The following is a 21,711-nucleotide window of genomic DNA, read 5'->3' as shown; positions in this document are numbered from 1 at the left end:
AACTCAATACCAATTGCAGAATGGGGCCCTCTAAGTCTTTATCTTCAAAGATGCTGCATTCCTTCTCGCCTGTTTGTTTTCTCTCTCTGGATGAAGATTCACAGCATTAATACATAATAACTGTATCTCACTCCATTACGGGTAGTTCAAGGCCGCTCCGCATAAACTATATGCACGGCTTTGTGTCTTCATCTTTAAAACCACCAAATACCTTGGTCACAGACATATGTTAGGTTTAATGCATCCCCTGCCATAAATGTGTTGCTTAAGACTAATGAACAAACGAAAGTTTGTTTAAACCTCTTTGTGAAAATCAAACTAGCTTTCAACAGCTATTCCTGTATTTATTGTCAGATGTGAATCATCACTGAGGTGCTTTGCCCTGAACTATAACCAGTTAATGCTCATAGTTTCATGGTACTAATTCACTTGCTATGGTTTTCGTTTTTTGTTGCATTGTTTTTCCCCCTCTCTTCTTCCTTTCTGTCAGTACCATCTCCAGAAAGGCACTGTATGAAAAGTCCCATGTTGTTTCTGGCAGAACTGACACATTTGTGCCTAGCATAGTGATGCTGTTGTCTGCAGAAGGGTCACAGCCTTCAGGGACTCTCCTGCCAGTGCTGTATTTTGCCTGCACCCCTCTGGCTTGGCTTCTGCACTGAGACCCTCCTAACAAGTGAGCACAAGCAAGACACTCTCCCTGCCTCTACCCCCACCCCTCCTCACAAAGTAGCTGTTTTTTCAAACTCAGCAGCACTGAAAAGCTCCCACCAGATTTACCCATTATACTAAATATCAGGTTTTAGAAGCTGGGAACTGTTATTCTAGTGTTGCTGGGTGTCATTAAGGTTGCACGTCTATGCTTGTTTAATTTTTCTCCTGCCATGAAGCAAATTAAGTGCTCGGAGGTTTTTTCTGTCTCACTGGGGTCCACCCAGAAGAGAAAAGAGAGTAAGTGTTCCAGGGTTGTGTAACTGGATTTTTTTTGCTGTTTTCATTATGAGGAAGGAATTAAAAATCCCTCCTAGTCAGTACTTAAAATATCAAAGTCATTGTTTAATGCCTTTGAGTCACTGTACAACTAATTCAATTGCACAGTATAGCACCGTTTCATGGTGTGTGAAACACAGATAGTACATAGAAGTGATTGCAAAGTTGAATAAACACCAAATTAGTTTTAAAAGTCTGCGACTTCCCAGTGGAGTCTTTCAAACTGAACGGCACTATTGTCTGACAAAGTCGATGGCCACCAAAAGGTTGCATTACCTTCTGCTTGTGCTAATGGAAGAGAGTGTCCCCTGACACTGTGGCACCTGGAGGAGAAGGCCATCCTCTGGGAGGCTTGTGTGCTGACAACTCCACATAACCAGCCTGCTTGTCACTCAGGGAGACATGACCACACAACACAGCCTGGAGTGGACAAGGAAGAGAGATGGTGTAGGTGAAAGAAAGGCCATGGCCAAACGAGAGACCCCAGGACAATTTTTAAAGCAGTTTGATATAGATGAAATATTGTAATTTGAGAATTAAAAAGACAAAGTTAGGCCCCATGCTTTGTTGCTTCCTGGCTGTGAGACTATTTTCAACTCATTTAACATTTCTGAGCCTCAGTCTCCTTATCTGTGCCCATTTGGTCAATAACAATTTTTCACTAACTATTATGTATTTTCTAGGCACTGTTCTAAGTGCTGCAGTGCTGGGGCCACAATATCAAACAAAACAAGTGAGTCAGTGTCTTCAGTGAAGTTTACTGTATATTATAAACAGTCATAGAATTCAAAGACAATCATATAACCAACTCTTTTGGATGGCTTAGGATGTGCCAGGTACTGTGCTAAGGACAAGAGATATAACCAGATACAAACCAGTCCCCATCCTCAATCATTACTTATTCACTCAACAAATATTTTTGAGTACTTACCCTGCACCAGGCACTAGGGATATAACAGATAAAAATTAAGTCTCTCGCTTCATGAAGCTTTCATTCTGATAGAGGGAGACAGGCAATAAGCAAATAAATGGTTTATTCCACCACCCCTTCAAGTCTTCACTCAAATGTTCCTTTTTCAATGAGACTATATAACCAACGTATTTAAAATTTCAACCACCATCCTGCATTCACTGCTTTTCATCTTGCTAAGGTAGTTAATATGTGTTAATTTGACTGAACCACAAGGTGCCCAGATACTTGGTCAAACATTATGCTGGGTGTGTCTGTGAGCATGGTTTTGGATGAGATTAACATTTGAATCAGTACACTGAATAAAGCTTATTTCTTTCCCCAGTAGATGATCCTCATCCAATCACTTAAAGGCCTGAATAGAACCAAAAGTCTGACCTGCCCATGAGTAAGAGAGAGCTCCTTCTGCCTGATTGCTTCAGCTGAGATATCAGCCTTTTCCTGCCTTTGGAATTGAACTGCAACACTGGCTCTTCCTGGGCCTCAAGCCTGCCAGCTTTTGAACTGTAATCACACCATCATCTCTCCTGGTTCTCAGGCCTTTGGACTCAAATCAGAAACACACCATGGGCTCTCCTGTGTCTCAAGCTTGCCAACTGTGATCTTGAGACTTCTCAGCCTCCATAATCACATGAGTCAATTGTTGGTTCTGTTTCTCTGGAGAACCCTAATCCATCACTTTACATATTTCTTCCATTACACATATTGTTTCCCAGCATATTAAATAATTTACTGATTATATTTTTGGTTTATTATTTATTTCTCCTCCTGGAATGTAAGTTTCACAGAGATCTTGTTCATTGCTAGATCTCAAGCCTGGCATCTAGTAGGCATTCAGTAAATAGCTGTTGAAAGATGAAAAAATAAATGTAATCTGCCAAGTGGAGGTAGGTACTGTGAAGAAGAATAAAACCAAATAAAGGAACTTGAGGGGAACAAAGGCACTTCTTTTTATAGAAGGTAGTCAGGCCCTGGTGGGACAGTGGATATTACTACTGGGATATATTTTTTATCTTCCAAACTAGGATATCTTCCTTAATCCTGAGATCCTTGTAGATTCACATGGAGTTATAGGAAATAATACAGGGGAGTCTCATGTAGCCTCTACCCAGTTTCCTTGAATAGTACCATCTTGCAATATCATAATCAAGATATACCTATTGATACAATGTAGAAATCTTATTTGGATTTTCCTAACTTAACTTGTACTTGTTTGTGTGTGTGTTTAGTTTCATGCAATTTTTCACATGTTTAGGTTCGGGTATCTACCACCACAGTGGAGATACTAAACAGTTCCTTCACTACGAGGATCTCCCATGTTGCCTTTTATAACCACATCCACCTCTGCACCCTTTACCCTTACCCTTTTCCAATCTTGGGCAACCACTATTCTGTCCTCCATTTCTATACTTTTTGTAAACTAGGACACTTTTGAAAGCAAAGGGGATACTATTAATAATTACGGCAGGACAACTGGTTAATGAGCACTGTCCCTGATGAAACACATGTGGGCATCTCTTTATTATAGAACAATCACGATATGGTTTGACTCTGTTTCCCCACCCAAATCTCATCTTGAATTGTAATCCCCACATGTCAGGGGAGGGGTCTACTGGGAGGTGATTGAATCTTGGGGGCAGACTCCCTCCTTGCTGTTCTCATGATAGTGAGTGTATATTTTTTTCTATACAAGGCACACCAATGAGTACTTTTTAATTAACCACAAGATATGGTTGTTTGGAAGTGTGTGGCACTTCCCCCTTCACTCTCTCTCTTTCTGTCCTGCTGCCATATAAGAAATGTCTTGCTTCCCCTTCTGCCATGATTGTAAGTTCCTGAGGACTCCCAGCCATGCAGAACTGTGAGTCAATTAAACCTCTTTTCTTCATAGATTACCCAGTCTCAGGTAGTTCCTTATAGCAGTGTGAAAATGGATTGATACAAATCATAACAACTATATCTAACAGTCATGGAATGGGTTCAGCATGCCAGGCACTCCACTGATCTTTGTCCACATTATTACTTTTAAAACCCAAAAAAAGCATGAGGCCAATACTGTTATTGTTCACATTTTACAGAGCAAGAAACAGAGGCAGCGAGGCATTAAAACACCTGTCTAGGGTCACAGGGTGTACAGCTTTCAGAGCCAGGAATCATAACCAGGTCTGTCTTGTTCTAAAGCTTGCCTTTTGTAACTCCTGCACATTAAACAAATAATCACAACTAATTTCTTAAATAATTACAAGAGAGCCAAGTGTTTTGAAGTATAAATACAAAGGGCTACCGAAGCATAAAATGGGAATTGGAAAAATACCTACCTCACCCAGAATTATTGTAAGAATTAAAAAGCACTCATTGGTGCACTTTGTATATCAAAAAGAACCTTTAAAAGTGTTCAGCATTGTCAAACTTTGTACCAGGAGAGATAGTCTTATCTGGACATTCATCACCTTGAATTTCCAAAATGTTAAGCGCCATCTCCTGAACAGTGCAATAGCTTTCTGTATACACTTTGGAATACTGACAGAGAATAATGAATTTTAAATTTTTAAAAATCTACAGTTTCTGACTGCAACTCAAAGAAAGTATTCACTCTGACATCATAAACTGTATAGCAGAGTTCGCCCTACAAAAGAAATTGTCTATGATTTCCCCCAGATGTGAGGATCCATCACTGAGGGAAGGAGTACGTTCCTTATGCTCTGGGCAAATCTCCGAGAGTTCCCTCTGACGCTGGAATTTTTTCCTCAGATCCAAGATCCAGTTAGTGGCCAATTCGTGATTTCCTGTCCGCCAAGTGCGTGGGCATTGATCTACAGGCGAGTTTCCCCACCTCCAGGGAATGGCTACTTCGGGGTCGGTGGGGGCGGGTGTCCTCCGGTGGATTGTAAGGTGTTTAGCAGCATCCCTCACCTCTGCTGACTAGATAGATGCCAGGGGTTAACATTCTCCCTCCGGGCTTCCCCTAGTCGTGGTCTTGTGTACCAGCAGGGATGGGGGAGGCATGTGAGGGTGAAGTTGCCGCCTGATGAGAACCATTGGTGCACATAGTCCTGTCCTCTGAGCTGGTGCACAGGACTCTGCAGATGAAGGCTCAGGGGTCGATCCAGCTCGAGACCCCCTATCTCCCCCTCACAGTCGAACCTTAAAATTTGAGTGTTTTAACATCTCGACATCATGAGATTCTACCTTTAGGTCTTTTCTTCCGTTCTGTCCGCCAAATCGGCCTCTTCCCAGGGTGTTGACCAGGGCCAGCCAGGCAGAAGGCTGGTTTCGCTCAAAGAGGATCCTCTCGCCCATCCTGGAGCTTCAGGCCTGTTTCGGTTGGGCCTGCAGAGGAGCTTTAGGGACCACTTCGTTCGGCATCCCGGGGGGCAGGTGCGTGGTGCCAGGGGAAGAAGAGGGTTTGACTGTTGTTCTCAACCCCCGGCACCAAACCTCCACCCTGGTGCGCGCCCCTCCAGGCTCCTGCTGGTCTCACTCGCCGGTAGTTAGGTCTCCCGTCAGCCTGAGCCCCCGAGACACCCAGGCCCGGAAGGACAAGTAGGGGAAACCAGCTACTCACTTAGGTCCTGTCCGCAAGGGATCCCTTTCTGACGGGAAAGAAAGGCAGCGAGTCCTGTCCTGTTGAGCAAGCGGAAGAGAGATCAAAGGGAAGAGAAGAAAAATCCCGTGAGGTTTCAGGATCTAAAGTTATCGGGAAGTCGACCTAACCTCGTCTGGAGGTCCTCCTGTGGCTGGCGAAGGTGAGTCGAGTCCCCATCTTCAGTTTGTCAGAGTGGACAAAGCCTACGACAATGGCCAGTACCAGCTATTAGGCATTCCCAGTCTTTCCAGTTGGTGGTACTGGAGCTTCCCTACCCAGGATTTCAGTGGATTCCAAGGGTACAACTGAACAGCTTTGTTATTCCAACTGCTCTTATTTGAAGAAAGGGCCGATCTGTTGAGAAGCACATAGGAAAACCACTTCGGTAAGAGTATAGTAACTGCTGCTGAGACTGTCACATTCCCCCTCCTCCTCCTCCCTCTTCCTAGAAATGTCCAATGAAAATTAATCCCCACGATCCGCCTGTTGTACTTTCAATGTACAGTTGATGGAACCTAAGGGAACTCTAGGAGGTTCCGGGATGAATATCTGAAATATGACACAGTCATTTTTATTTACACATGCATTCCAAAAACACATTGGACAAACACATCCAGTTCACCTGTGCCACACTTACAAAGATGAGAGAAGAGGGACTACATACAAACAAGTGAAAGATGTAATCGAATGGCTTTTAAATATCTGCCATTTCCACTGAAGGTCTTCTTCTCTGGATACACCTACCAGTGTCTTCTCTTTCTCCAAAATCAGACATTCAAGTGCCAGACCCTGAAATCAGTTTTCTGGTTCCAACTTGTTCTTCCCCATTCTGTATCTCTGCCCCTCCACTCTCTTCTTTCATATGCAGGAAAGGTCAGCTCTCCCTCAGTTTCTAATTTGCAACATCCCAGTTGAAGAACGCAATGACCAGCATCAAAAATTAGACACCCTCCATGGGACTCCATCTCTGTCTTAGTTGGAGCTTCTATAATAATGTAACATAAACTAGGTGGCTCATCCACAACAGACATTTCTCACAGTTCTGGAGTTTGGAAGTCTAAGGTCAAGGTGCCAGCATGGTAGGGTTATGGTGAGGAACCTCTTCCTGGTTATAGACTGCCATTTTCCCACTGTATCTGCAGGTGGCTGAAAGAGGCTGAGAGAGCTCTCTAGTGTCCCTTTTATAGGGGCACTAATCCCACTCAGGAGGACTCCACCCTCTGGATCTAATTACCTCCCAAAGGCCCCTCCTCCTGATTTTAACACTTTCCAGGAGTCGACAGAGGAAGGTTAGGGTTTCAACCAAGGCATTTTGGGGAGACACAAATATTAGGTCTCCTGTGATCTTTCGAGAAGAAGAAGAAATTATAAATGATCCAAAGCTTTGTACATTTCACAGTTAGAAATAAAGAAAAATTTTCCTAAGATTTCAAAAGGCCTGAAATGTGAGCTTCCTCCCCACCAACCCCACCACCAAAATCTGGACTCTGTGCTGAGTGTTGTGGACTTTTTGTGTGTTCATCCTCCCTGCAGACAACTGGAGATTTATTCTCTCCAGAGGGTAGAAGAGAGGATCTATTGGGAGAACCCGCCCCCAATATTTCAACGTAGGTTCTTTCTATTTTCCGTAAGTGTCGGCCGGCTGAAAAATAAAGACAGACAGTACAAAGGGAGGAATTTTACAGGTGGGGTGCCAGGGGTGACATCACATATTAGTAGGACTGTGATGCCCACCTGAGTCTCCGACCAGCAAGTTTTCATTAAGGGTTTCAAAAGGAGAGGTTGTGTAAGAACAGAGAGTAGGTACAAAGATCACATGCTTCAAATAGCAAAAAGCAGAACCACTGATAAGGGTCTAACAAAGATCACATGCTTCTGAGGGAACAGGGAAAAGGGCAAAAGCAGAACCACTGATAAGGGTCCAACAAAGATCACAAGGCAAACGGCAAAGGCAGAACCACTGATAAGGGTCTGTGTTCAGTGGTGCATGTATTGTCTTGATTAACATCTTAAACAACAGAAAACAGGGTTGAGAGCAGAGAACTGGTCTGACCACAAATTTACCAGGGCTGAGTTTTCCCAACCCTAGTAAGCCTGAGGGTTCTGCAGGAGACCAGGGCTTATCTCAGTCCTTATCTCAACTGCACAAGACAGACATTCCCAGAGTGGCCGTTCATAGACTTCCCCCCAGAGATGCATTCTCTTCCCAGAGTATTAATATTAATATTCCTTGCTAGGAAAAGAATTTAGTGATATGTTGACTACTTGCATGTTCGTTTATAGGCCCTCTGCAAGAAGAAAAATATGACTCTTTTTGCCCGACCCCACAGGCAGTCAGAAATTATGGTTGTCTTCCCTTGTTTCACAAAAATCGCTATTATTCTGTTCTTTTTCAAGGTGCACTGATTTCATGTTGTTCAAACACGTGTTTTACAATCAATTTGTACAGTTAACACAATTATCACAGTGGTCCTGAGGTGAGGTATATCCTCAGTTTATGAAGATAACAGGATTAAGAGATTAAAGTAAAGAGAGGCAAAAGAAATTATAAAAGTATTATTTGAGAACTGGTAAATGTCCATATTAAGGTGAAATCTTTACAATTTATGTTCCTCTGCCTTGGCTGCAGCCGGTCCCTCCACTTGGGGTCCCTGACTTCCCGTAACAATGATCCTTGGCCCCAAGGGGGCAATCAGCATAGATGTGCAAGTACTTGTATCCCACACTGAAATGAGAGGTATGAAGTGACAGCATATCTTGATCTATGTGATGGTTACATGAGTTATGACCTATTTCAAAGCTTATTATGCTGTGTGAAAAAGAAGAAAACCAGAGGACTTGCACAACCTGAGTTTCAGACTCACTCTAAGCTGTTATAATCAAGGCAGTGTGCAAGTGGCATTGGGAGACACAAATACATCAACAGACTGACTTTGGAGACCTGAAACTGACCCACAGCTATAAGGTTCATAGGTTTTTTGTTTGTTTGTTAATTTCTTTTTGTTTTCTGAGACAGGGTCTTACTCTGTCATCCAGGCTAGAGTGCAGTGGCGCGATCTCGGCTCACTGCAATCTCTGCTTCCCAGGCTGAAGCGATCCCCGTGCCTCAGCCTCCCAGGTAGCTCATACTACAGGCACATATTAGTAGACATGAGGTTTCTCCATGTTGCCCAGACTGGTCTCCAACTCCTGGGCTCAAGTGATCCACAGGCCTCAGTCTCTCATAGTGCTGGGATTACAGTCATGAGCCACCATGACTGGCCATAGGTTTTCAATAAAAGCAGTTTAATGGGGCAAAGGAAATAGTTTCAATTAATTGCCTTTCATAAAGGAGAAGGGGTAGACGAACAAGGTTATTTCTCCCTCACACTACACTTGAAAGTAACTTGAGACACATTATAGACCAAAATATAAAAGCCAAAGATATAAAGCATTTCGAGGATACTTTGTGACTTGTTGGTAGACAGAGATTTATTAAATAGGGCACAGAAAAAAATGTATAAAGGAAAGGCTTGATACATTAGACTTCATCAAATATTAGCCATATCTTCTCATCAAAAGAGGCAACAAAGAAAGTGAAGAAATGAGACAGCCTCAGACAGGGAGAAAATAGTCACGAAACTTATCTGACCCCCAAACCCTGTAACTATAAAGTATGCTGAGATCTTCTTACCTGGTAATTAAAACAACAAGGACAACAACAACAACAACAACAACAACAACAACAACAAAACCAATCAACCCAAGTATGCTAGATGGGTAAAAGACTTGAACAGATACATAAGAATAAAAGGTACACACATGGTCAACAAAGCATATACAATATGTTCAGCTATCAGGAAAATGGAAATCAAAACCACATTGAGACACCACTATAACTCCCAGTAGCATGGCTAAATTTATAAGGAGAGGAAACACCCAATCTTGGAGAAGATGAAGAACAACCACAACTCTCACACGTCATTGCTGGAAATGTAAAATGACACAACTACTTTGGGCCAAGTTTTGTGAGTTTTTATGATCTTGCACATATCTCACTCTTTGGTACCAGCAATTAGGCAACTAGGTTTTCCCCAAGAGACACGAAAACAGGTGCCCTCAAAATCTCTTGTGGGAAGAAAGTTCAAAGCCGGCTTATTCAGAATACCCAATACCGGTTTATTCAGAATAGCCAATACCCAGACGCTCATTATCGGGGTGGAGGTGGGGCGAGAATGGCAAACAAACTGTGCTGTCTCTTTGCAATGGAATACTACTCAGCAATGAAAGAGGAATGAACTTCTGCTACACTCAGCAATGGATAGAGCCAGAGACATTACGCAGAGAGAAAGAAGCATGTAGAACAGAGTAGATGCAACGTGATTCCATCTGCGTGAAGTTCTACAAGCAAAGGTAAAGTGAAAACAATCTGGAGAGTGATTGTTCACAAATAAGGCAGAGGACAATGATAATGATTTTTATAATTCTAGTGATTACGTTATTGATTGAGTAGTCACTAAATCCAGGCACGTCTGACAACAGCAGTGTAAGGCAGAGTTCCCAAAGAGGCCCAACCTTCCACAGAAAAATGTTGAGGCACATAAAATTTAAGATAGTTAACCAAGGTCAGGCAAGGGCTGACATAGATTTCTAATACAGAACCTGGGTTCTTGGACATAGATTAGACTGGACCTGTCCACTTCTCTGTTTCAGATGTCTCTGGGATTCTCAGCTGCATCAGAGGAGAGACAGAAGGACAGAGAAGGAGACAGAGGGAGAGAGGAGTAGGGAAGAAATGGAGGGAGGCACAGGGCCCATAGCTGTGAAACAGCAGAGAAGTAACTCTTGCCAGTCTATTTACAGTATACAGAAGTTTTCTGGTGATCAGGACATTAGCAGATGCTAAGTTTGCTGTGGTCAGGAGATGAATTTGATATGCCATAGATTTAGAAATTAAAACGAAACCCTAAAGTTATTGGAAGAGAATGTAGCAGAATACATTTCTGCCTTAAGAGATAACAGGAAAAAATAAAGCAAAGTAGAATTTCACCAAAGTTATCAACTTCTGCTCATCAAGAATCACCATGAGAAAGTGAGAAGGTGAGCCACAGACTGGGAGAAGATAATTGCACTGTGTTTACCTGAAAAAAAAAGGCTCAAATTTTGAATATAGAGAGTACTTTTTACAAATCAGTAATAAAAAGCAAAGCCAATTGAATTAGGGAAAATGCTTCAAAGCCTGTCTTCTCAAAGAAGGATTGCTAAACGGTGAAAAGGCATTAGAAAATATGCTCAACAGCATTACTCATTAAAGGAAACACAAATTGAAGCCACGATGTGGTACCGTTTTACATCCACCAGAACAGGTGTATTTAAAAAACAGTAAACACCACGCGCTGTCAAGGATGTCCAGCCAGTGGAACTCTCCTTGCTGGTGAGAAAGCATTCTGGAAGAAACCATTTGGCCGTTTCTAATAAAGTTAATATTACACCTACCCTATGATCCAACAATTCCAGTACTTGGTATTCCTCAAGGGAAATGAATGCACGTGTCCACAAAAAGACCTATACAAGAAGAATTTTCGTTCATCTTGTCCAGCAAGTGGCATCGGTTTCCTATCAGCAGGAGTCTGAACACTTCTGGCCCTAGCCTCTTGGTATCAGAGTCGCCAAGGAAATACAAGGCAGTCAGAGACTGGACGGGAGAACAACACATTATTCATACAGAGAGGAGACAGAGCGGGGTGTGGGCTCCGCTTCAGTCTTGGGCGTTGGTCCCCCATGGCCAGCAGGTCCCTCCATTTGGCCTGCACACACAGCCTCTTGAGAAGCAGAAGAAAGGACCCCCGCTTCCTCCCCTCAGTGGGGGGCAGATACAGCAGCTGGCCAGGTGCCAGTTGATGCACATGCTTAAGTGGAACAAAGGGGTACACACCAAGTCTGATCGGGGGAAAGATACTCCCACACAAGGAGGTGAGTCCAGCACAGGCTGTGATGACTCCTTATCTCTCAGGAAGGAAGTGCTCCAGGCCCAAGGCCCATTCCTACGTGGCAGAGTGGAGGTGGAAAGACCCCCGGCACCAGATTGCCTTTCCTCACACTTTGCTGTTGGCATACAAACTTGGTGACGGGCACAGAGACAAGCCATTGTAGGCCACAACAAAGAGTTTGGAGTTTAAAGTCATTAAAAGCTTCTTGTCGTTTCGTGTGTAACAGCCCCAGTGACTGGAAAACAGGTTCTGAGCACACCATTGCCTTCGTGTAAGCCACCACCAACAGGGCTGACTGGGTTATTTGCTCTGTGAGGCTCAGAGACAGGACGGTGCACGTCCAGAGTTTCCCTTGGACTCCTCCCCAGGTTAGTGAGCTGTGAGGTCTCTTTTCCTTACCCCGACGTGCCCCCAGTGACCGGAAGAACGGTTCTGAGCACACCATTGCCTTCGTGTAAGCCACCAACAGGGCCGACTGGGTTATTTGCTGCGTGAGGCTCAGAAACAGGAGGGAGCACGTCCAGGGTTTCCCTTGGATTCCTCGCCAAGTTAGTAAGGTGTGAGGTCTCTTTTCCTTCCCCTGACGCGCCTGGTTGCGGGAGCAAAAGGGAAGAGCTGACAGCCTAGACTAACGACATTGCCGTGACTCGGATTCGAACCGAGGTTGCTGCGGCCACAACGCAGAGTACTAACCACTATACGATCACGGCGAGCCACAGGCTAAACCGCGATGGCGGAGCTTGCTCTAGCCCTTTTGACGTCAATGGATTTCGATTATTAGGCGGATTCGTTCCCAGACAGCCACAGGGGACTCGCGCTTTTCTTTCATGCCCGCTCTGCTTTTCCCTCCCTTCCTCCCAATCTTCATACGTGATGAGAACAATTCTCATCTCCTCCACTCCAGCCTGGGCCTCCCTGCACCAGCCTCTCTCGGGAGGTCTCTCTGTCCTGGTCCGCACCTCCTCTGCTTCTGTGGGGCCTCTCCGTATTTCTGCTTTTCACCCCTCCTCTCTCCCGCCCCACCGACCGAGGCCGAGGTGAGCGAGGGGAGCGCAAGCAGCAGTAGAGAATCGGGTGAAGGCGGAGCCAAGAAGGGGAAGAGCCATCACTAGAGCCCACGGGGCGTTCTGCTTGCTTCCCCTGGGACCCACGCGGCTCAGGCCCAGGGAGTCGCGGACCCGGGCGTTTCCTGGGATGCTGGGTCTGACGCCTGCGAGGGTCAGGACGGGGCGAAGGCCATTCCGCTGCCCTTCCAGCTTCGGAATCACCCAATGCACGGGTTTCAACCGTAGCCAGCAAGATGCGCCTCTCAGGTTTTCCGAGGCTTTAGAGCCTGCACAGTTGTTCTAAAAAAGGCGGTGGCTCCTCCTAACGTTGGATGGGCTCTTGCTCTGCATGGTGATACCAGAGTGAGAGTCGTCTGTCTGTGTGTCTCAGTTGGGTGGTGTGCTTGTTTCCAAGCCCGAAGGTGGGTGGTTCGAGCCTGTTCTATGGAGCATTTCTTGCATTTTAAAAATGCTTAAACCGCTGGCAACTTTCTTCTATCCAGCACATGGTATCATGGAAAGGCAGAGGGAGACTAACTTTACCCTCCTCTCCTCCGTCTGTCGCGCAGGACGTGAGGACGTAAATCAAGGTCCGCTAGGATTCTGGGAACCCTCTCTCTCTCTTTTTTTTTTTTTTTTTTTTGAGATGGAGTCTCGCTCTGTGGCCAGGCTGGAGTGCAGTGGCAAGATATCTCGCCTCACTGCAACCTCCGACTCTCTGGTTCAAGCAATTCTCCTGCCTCAGCCCCCTGAGTAGCTGGGATTATAGGCACGCGCCACCACACCCAGCTAATTTTTGTATTTTTAGTAGAGACGGGGTTTCACCATGTTGGCCAGGGTGGTCTCAATCTCCTGACCTTGTGACCCGCCCGCCTCAGCCTCCCAAAGTGCTGGATTACAGGAGTGAGCCACCGCGCCGCTCTCTCTCTCTCTCTCTCTCTCTCTCTCTCTCTCTCTCTCTCTCTCTCTCTCTCTCTCTCTCTCTCTCTCTCCCTCTCCCTCTCTCTCTCTCTCTCTCTCTTTAACTGTCATTCATTTAGCCCTTTCCATATGCTTTTGAGGTTAAATTGGTTCTGTGATTTTTTTATAATTACATATAATGCTCTAGTCATTCTTGTACGGGCATTTTCAGCCACTGGTCTAAATATTTCTTTAGGCTAGAGGTGCAATTACTATAGGAAGAACAATTACTCTATCATACTGTTCATAAAGTTTTTATATCATTCTATTCTCTCTCTTCTGTTGGCTTATTAGCTATAACTCTTTCTTTTGTTATTTTAGTAATTCCCTTAGGGCTTATAGCAAACCTTTTTAACTTATCACAGTCAACTTTCAAGTGATATTATATCTCACCTTCTGGCCTTGACGCTATAGCTGACATGCACTTTGCTTTTACGCATGTTATAAACACCACAACCCATTGTTATTGCTTTTGTTTAAATGGTCAAATTTTTACAAAAGAAATTTACAAAATAAAAAAATACCTAGTATAGTTACCCATTTCTGGTGTTCTTCATTTCCTCGTGGAGATCTGGATTTTCATCTGGTATTGGATTCCTTCTGCTTGGAGGACTCATTTGATGTTTCTTGTAGTGTGGGTTGACTGGTAGTGAATTCGGTCAGCTTTTGTACATCTCTAAATGTCCTTATTTCACTTCCACTTTTGGGAATTTATTTTTTCTGGCATAGTATTCTACATTAACTTCTCCTGCCCTCAGTACCTTAAAGATGTTGCTTCTCTGTCTGCTCGTGTGCATTGCTGCTCCTGGTAGAGGCCGGCAAGAGCAGAAAGGAAGCTGATGCAATCCTCATTTTTGCTCCTGTGTATGTACAATGTCTTTTTCTTCTGGCCAGATTTGAGCAATGTTATTATGATGTATCTAGGAGTGGTTTTATTCATGTTTCTTGCGCTTTGGTTTCCTCAGCTCCTTGGGTCACTGGATTTATAATTTTTGTTATGATTGGGAACTTTCCAGCTATTTTTCTTCAGAAATTGGCTGGGCACAGTGGCTCACACCTTTGGGAGGCCAAGTCGGGAGGTGTTGAGTGAGGCCTGAAATTCAAGACCAGCCTGGGCAACATACTGAGACCCCATTCCTAAGAAAAATAACAAAGAAAGAAAATAAATGTTTCCTTTCCTCCCTGCTCCTTCTCAGGGACTCCCATTACTCAAAAATTAGACCTCTTAAGTCTGCCCTACAGTTCACTGATAATCTTTTCATTAAAAAAAATCTCTTTTGTCTGTGAGTTTCATTTTGCATATTTTCAATTATTCATGATTCCATGTTCCCTGATCATTTCTTCTGCAACATCTAATCTGCTGTTAATCCCATCCAGCGAATTTATCATCTCTGATATTGTGGTTTTGGTATGATATCGGCTCACTGCAACCTCCGCCTCCCAGGTTCCAGTGATTCTCCTGCTTCAGCCTCCCAAGCAGTTGGGACTACAGGCATGTGCCATGCCGCCCAGCTCATTTTTTGTATTTTGAGTAGAGATGGGGGTTTCACTGTGTTAGCCAGGATCATCTTCATCTCCTGACTTTGTGATCCACTGGACTCAGACTCCCAAAGTGCTGGGATTACAGTGGTAAATCACCGCACCTGGACCCACCATCCCTCCCTCCCTTCCTTCCTTCCTTGAGACAGGGTCTCACCCTGTAGCCCAAGCTGGACTTCAGTGGTGTAATCTTAGCTCACTGCAACCTCTGCCTCCCAGGCTCAAGCAATCCTCCCACTGCAACCTCCTGAGTAGCTGGGACTACAGGCACACCTATAGTCCTGGCTAATTCTTTGAATTTTTTTGGTAGAGATGAGTTTTCCTCATCTTGCCCAGTCTAGTCTGAAACTCCTGAGCTCAAGGGATCAGCCCACCTCGGCCTCCCAAACTGCTGGGATTACAGGCATCTGTTTGTTTACAGTATTGTATTCTCTTGCCAGCAACAAGAGTTACAGTTGCTCTGCATTTTTATAAGCCAGTGGCTTTCCCTGTCTCTTAAATGTTACCCATTCTGATGGGTGTGTTATGGAGTATCATGGCATTTTAAATTTGTGTTTCCTGAATGAGTAATAATGCCAAGAATCCTTTCTTATGCAATTTGGCCATTAAGAAATTCTCTTTGGTAAACAAACACCGTTCAAGTATTTTGCCCATTTTACATTGGCTTGACTCTTTTCTTCCTCCCCAAATTTATACACAAACTTTTCTATTTGAATAGAAAAGTTGAGAAGATAGTACACAGAATGGAGTAAAGAGGATGGAATGGGTTTTTGGAAACCAATTCAAACTTTAAAGTTGTTTTAATATCCTCCATCCTCAAAGAACAATGTATGTCTTCCAAAGACATCCCCTTATTGAAATATGCAGAGAAAGTGTGAGATAAAAGAGCATATACTAAACTCCTCAGAACGTGTTTCTGGAAGTGGACAGGGAAATGGGAGTGGGATAAACAGAGAAAAGAAGGAAAGACAGTAAGTGCCTTGCTCAGAGCTGCCACCATAATGTGCCCTGAGCTAAGGTACATGATTACCTTCTCCCTGTGCACCTGAGATCTAAGAAAATATATTAACTAATCAGGGACATGGAATTTCAAAAACACTACAGAAAAACAGAAAATTTACCCAGACAGACCAGTCTAGTTAAGAAAGGCAGGAAGAGATTTTATAAACAAAGCCAAAACACAGAAATCATACAATGAGGTGGTGGGAATGAGACTAACTGTGCCTGTCATCTCCAATGTAACACTAACTGCTGTGAATTATAATGGATTTAAGTCTCTCAGATTGGATAGAAAAGGAAATGCCAGCTCTAATGGTTTAATGGGCAGAAAAGGGTTAAATATTCAAAGCAGTGCACATTATATTATATATATATATATATATATATATATACGTATATATTGTATAGGAGGGAGATATACATATATATACATTTTTTTTTTTTGAGACGCAGTCTAGCTCTGTTACCAGGCTGGAGTGCAGTGGCATGATTTCAGCTCACTGCAACCTCCACCTCCTTGGTTCAAGTGATTCTTCTGCCTCAGCCTCTCGAGTACCTGGGACTACAGTCACGCGCCACTGTGCTCAGCTAATTTTTGTATTTTTAGTAGAGATGGGGGTTTCACCATATTGGCCAGGCTGATCTCGAACTCTTGACCTCATGATCCACACGCCTCAGCCTCCCAAATTGCTGAGATTACAGGTGTGAACGACGGTGCCAGGTCAAAAGCAGTACACATTATCTTTAGCAAGCTAACGCAGAAACAGGAAACCAAACACCGTGTGTTTTCACTTATAAATGGGAGCTGAATATGAGAATGCATGGATACATGGGGTTGGGGAGCAAGGACAACACACACTGGAGCCTATTGGAGGGTGGGGGTTGGGAGGAGGGAGAGCATCAGGAAGAGTAGCTAATGGATGCTGGGCTTAGTACCTGGGTGATGGGAAGATCGGTGCAGCAAACCACCATGGCACACGTTTACCTATAAGACAAACCTGCACATCCTGCACATGTACCCTGAACTTAAAAGAAAAGTTGGAAATAAAAAATGTAAAAAGGAAAGAAAACAAACAACAACAACAAAAAGAGCAGTGCAAATCTGTACCATGCTCATTATAAACAAAAGAATGAGAGTGAAAACATGAATATCCAACAAAAGCAAACAACAAAAGAACACTTTCTGTTAGCTAGAGGAGTAATATCCTAGCATCTACCTAGAATCAAATGGAACTGTTTTTCCCTGAACTGGCCTCCTTGGGTGGCCAACCAGGGTGAGGTGAAGGGAAGAAATCTGGGAGTGAAATGTCCATTTCTTCGCTCTTGCTTAGGTCTCTGTAAGGCATAAGAAGTTAAAAGCAAGATCCAATCCCAGGCCTTTTCCAGGAATTCAAAAGAGGTGTAGGAGGAGAGAAGTTCAATTATCACCCTGGTCTCCTGGAGTATCCCAGGCATAGTCCCAAGAGTTCAGCTTTCCAAACCAGGGTCCCTGTTCTCTGACAGCCTTTTTTGGAGAAAGTACTGATGTTCCTGTCAAGGTTGGGAGGAAAGGGTTTGAGAGGCACCAAGCAATGGGGAGGCAAAGAGAAGACATCAACAAGCGAGGCAAGAACTTTCCACAGGCTCACACTGGATACAGGACCAGAGACAAGAAACTGGGTGAATTTCTGATTTTTCCTACAGAGGTTTGTTATCAAGTTGCACAGAGCCTACTCAGAATAAGGCTTTTTCAAGTCAGCTCTTTTAATGTGAAGCCATAACTTTGTGGTGTTGCCTGATGCAAATCACCACTGCGAGCCTTTGCTCTGGGTGTCTTTTTTGTTAGTCACATCAAAGAGAACACAGCGAAAATCTTGACTCCTTTCCCCAAGTCTGTGTCTTAACTGTTTCCAAGGCTGCAGAGCTCAGGGTCAGGAGGCACTGGCAGTTCAGTGGTAGAAATTACACCTCCCACCCGGGAGACCTGGATTCCATTTCTGGCAAATGCAGGGTCCTGTCTTTGTGCCCTGTGGTTTTTACATTTACTTACTGTAATTGTGACCCTCAAAGAGGTCACAGCCACACTAATAAAGAAAAAAAAATGGAAGCTACTGTATAGTCCTCGGGTTCTTTCCCTAGCTGAATTTATCTTTCTTTTATTTATTTATTTTTGTTAGTTTGTTTGTTTGAGACAGAGTCTCGGTCTGTCACCCAGGCTGGAGTGCAATATGTGCAATCCTGGCTCACTGCAACTTCCACCTTCTGGGCTCAAGCGATTCTCCTGCCTCAGCCTCCCAAGTAGCTCTAATTACAGGTTTGTGCCACCATTTCCTGCTAATTTTCCTATTTTCAGTAGAGACGGGGTTTCACCATGTTGGCTAGGCTGATCTTGAACTCCTGACCTCACATAATCCACCAGCCTCTTACAGGGTGTACCCGGCCCTGGAGCGGAATTTATCTAAGCAGGGACTTTATAGAGACAGTCTATGAAGCAGCCAGTGGGTCTGGTTGGTCTCTGCGTTTCTGCATATTTGGCCCTAAAACTGGTGCTACTTTTATTGTCTCTGCTGTCAGATCCCTGCAATACAAAGAGTCACCTGATCACGGATTCTCTGCCTGGACCTTGGATAGACCATTGGACCACATCTTGTGATGGAGTGCGGTTCAAGAAATGACATTCCCGAAAGGAGAGAAGCTGTAGGGTTGGGCGGACACACGCAGTGGTGGGGGACTGGGGCCCAAGGGGAGGCGTGTGGGGAGGAACCCCTCCTGTCCAGGAAGGCCCAGTCTTTGGTGGTCTCGGCAAAATGAAGGATGGGCCCCAAGTGGAGAGCAGCACGTCCACAGAACTCATTTCTATCACCCCAGTTTGTTTTACACTCCACCAGGAAAATCTTCTGTCCACGGGACTCTTTTTTTTTTTTTTTTTGAGACGGAGTCTAGCTCTATCGCCAGGGTGGAGTGGAGTGTGCGATCTCAGCTCATTGTAACCTCTGCCTCCAGGGTTCAAGGCATTCTCCTGTTTCAGCCTCCTGAGTAGCTGTGATTACAGGCAGGCGCTGCCACGCCCAGCTAATTTTTGTATTTTTAGTAGAAACGGGGTTTCACCATGTTAGCCAGGTTGGTCTCGATCTGTTGACCTCATGATCCACCTGCCTTGTCCTGCCAAAGTCCTGGGATTACAGGCATGAGCCACCGTGCCCGGCCTCACAGGATTTTTTTTTTAATGGGTATGTAGTATTCCATGTTGTGTATGTACCACATTTTCTTTATTTAATCCACCATTGATGGGCACCTAGTTTGATTCCATGTCTTCGCTATTGTGAATAGGCTGGTGGTGATCATAGGAGTGCATGTGTCTTTTTGTCATAATGATTTCTATTCCTTTGGGTATATACCCAGAAATGAGATTACCAATTGAATAGCAGCTCTGTTGTAGGTTCTTTGAGAAATCTCCAAACTGCTTTCCACAGTGACTGAACTAATTTACATTCACTCCAAGGGTTTATAAGCTTTCTCTCCACAGGCTTATCAGCATCTGTTGGTTTTTGACTTTTTAATAGTGGCCATTCTGAGTGGTGTGAGATGGTATCTTATTGTAGCTTTGATTTGCATTTCTCTGATTATTAGTGATGATGAGCATTTATTTCTGTGTTTGCTGGCTGCCTATATGTCTTCTTTTATGAAGTGTCTGTTCATGTCTCTTTGCCCACTTTTTAATGTTTTTTTTTCTTTTTGATTTTTTTAAGTGCCTTATAGATTTTGGACATTAGACCTTTGTTGGATTGACAATTTGTGAATATCTTCTCCCATTCTATAGGTGGTCTGTTGACTCTGTTGATGGTCTTTTGCTGTGCAGAAGCTCTTTCACTGAATTAGGTTTTACTTGTGAATTTTTGTTTTTGCTACAATTGCTTTTGTGGACTTGGCCATAAATTCTTTGCCAAGGCTGATGTTGAGAATGATATTTCCTAGGTTTTCTTCTATGATTTTTCTGCTTTGAGGTCTCAGTATGTATTGTGCCATTGCAAATGACAACCAACCAGAGACTAATCATTACAAGCCAAGAAAGGGAATTTACCTTATTGGTGGCCAGAAAAACGTCCAACAAAAGAAAATTAGTAAAAGAGATTCCTGGGTGTCTTTTTCTATAAAGCATGGGGGATTGTTTTCTGTAGAGTTCAGCAAACATTTTCTGTAAAGAGCCAGAGATAGTAAGTATTGCAGGCTTGTGAGCCAAGAGGCAAAATCAAGGCTATTATGTAGGTGTACATATAACCAGGAAGAAAACAAATTTCTATACCATTTTAACAGATGAGATTCTAAGCTAACAATAGTAAATGAGTAGAACTTCTCAGATGGTAAATGCTCTTTGCATTGAGAGCCTAGGTCTGCTCAGCTTTCCTAGGCTGCCTGGTACAGCCCTCCCTTTCCACCCCTCAGGCTGTTTCCTCCCTGTTTTCCTCAGAAGCATGCCATACCTAAGACCTACTACCCTGAGAAGCAGTGAAGTGCTCCTGGGGCCCACCAAGGCCACACAAGTCAAGGAGTGGATGGCCTTGCTCCAGCTACTGCTCAGATCACCTTTGCAAGATGACATTGTGTTGGGAGATGGTCATCAGAGCCAGGGCCATGGAAGATGCTGTCAGGAGGTGAAATGACTGGTGCCCAGGGGGAGAAGTGGCCAAGCACCTCTGCATTCAGCCTCACAGAAATCTCAAGGGGATGCAGAAATGGAGACGGGGCAAATGGAAAACTCTTTCAAGCAAAGTTTTAGGGCCCTGAACTGATCTCTGCTTTTCCTCCTACAACCTGCCACACCTGCTATTTTCTCACCTCTGTGGATGGAAACTGCATCCTTCCATATGCTCAGTCAAAAAATCTTTAAGTTTTCTTTGACTTCTGATCTTTCCTTCACATCCTATAGCTGTTTAGTCAAGAAATCACATTATGCTGAGCAATCAGGTGTGGTCCTTAATCCACACCATCCTTTCCCCCTAGTTTATAAACCTTGTAAAGTCATTCTCCTGATAAAGACAATAGGATTTCCATGAAATTGTACAATTTCAATCCTTCCTGGATGCATGACTCACTTAAAAGCACTGCTTTGTTTGCTACCATTTTCCCCTATTTTTATTTCGTACCTGTTTGACCTGCACTCTTTCCCATATGGCAGGCACTTCAGCTCAAGTATGCTTTCCTAATCATAGAATTAGCAATAATAGCAGCCTTCCTAACAACTTCTTCCTGGCCCCACCACCAGGCAAACGTCATAGGATTTAATAGGTAAAGAATCGTAGGATCGTCCCTATTGCTTGGTGTTATAAAATGAATTATTTTCCCCTGAATTCATATGTTGAAAGTTTAACCCCCAACTTGACTGCATTTAGAGACAGAGTCTTTAAGGAGGAAATTAAGGTTAATGAGGCCATACAAGCAGGGCCCTAATCTGGTAGGAATGGTGTCCATATAAGAAGAGGAAGGGCATCAAAGAATCTCTCTCTTTCTCCACACAGGCACGAGGAAAGGCTATGGGAGCACAAAGCAAGAAAGTGGCCTTCTGCAAGCCAGGAAGAGAGGCCTCCCCAGAAACCAACTCTGTGAGCTCATCGATCTTTGACTTTTGGCCTCCAGAACATTGAGAAAATAAAAGTCTGTTGTTAAACCACCCAA

At 44.0% G+C, this 21,711-nt stretch overlaps 3 long non-coding RNA genes and 1 other non-coding gene across 9 annotated transcripts in view; 2 read left to right on the top strand and 2 right to left on the bottom strand.

The window, feature by feature from the left end:
• The window catches only part of LOC105371225 (uncharacterized), a 26,528-nt gene extending 23,827 nt beyond the window's left edge, over window positions 1-2,701 (top strand). For 3 of the 4 annotated variants that reach the window (XR_007066561.1, XR_922065.4, XR_922066.2), the window contains one exon: window positions 2,286-2,701. This is a non-coding gene — a long non-coding RNA (uncharacterized LOC105371225). The remainder of the gene's footprint in view (window positions 1-2,285) is intronic. The other variant, XR_007066560.1, reaches the window with a different exon arrangement.
• On the bottom strand, window positions 1,729-14,322 carry LINC02806 (long intergenic non-protein coding RNA 2806). 2 transcript variants are annotated; one of them, NR_187238.1, is made up of 3 exons: window positions 14,059-14,322; window positions 5,675-5,900; window positions 1,729-5,584 (listed from the first exon to the last, which is right to left on the bottom strand). It is a non-coding gene; the product is annotated as a long intergenic non-protein coding RNA 2806 (long non-coding RNA). The 2 variants fall into 2 exon arrangements; NR_187239.1 differs by having other exon boundaries at window positions 1,729-5,900.
• Window positions 12,154-12,225, bottom strand: TRH-GTG1-3 (tRNA-His (anticodon GTG) 1-3). The gene has a single exon. It is a non-coding gene; the product is annotated as a tRNA-His (tRNA).
• Window positions 12,367-21,711, top strand: LINC01731 (long intergenic non-protein coding RNA 1731). 2 transcript variants are annotated; one of them, NR_183739.1, is made up of 5 exons: window positions 12,367-12,552; window positions 18,216-18,352; window positions 18,613-18,735; window positions 20,507-20,690; window positions 21,555-21,711. It is a non-coding gene; the product is annotated as a long intergenic non-protein coding RNA 1731 (long non-coding RNA). The 2 variants fall into 2 exon arrangements; NR_183738.1 differs by lacking the exon at window positions 18,613-18,735.

Source organism: Homo sapiens, chromosome 1 (genome assembly GCF_000001405.40).
Source record: "Homo sapiens chromosome 1, GRCh38.p14 Primary Assembly".
Taxonomy (NCBI): domain Eukaryota; kingdom Metazoa; phylum Chordata; class Mammalia; order Primates; family Hominidae; genus Homo; species Homo sapiens.
This window is presented reverse-complemented; position numbering and strand designations above follow the sequence as displayed.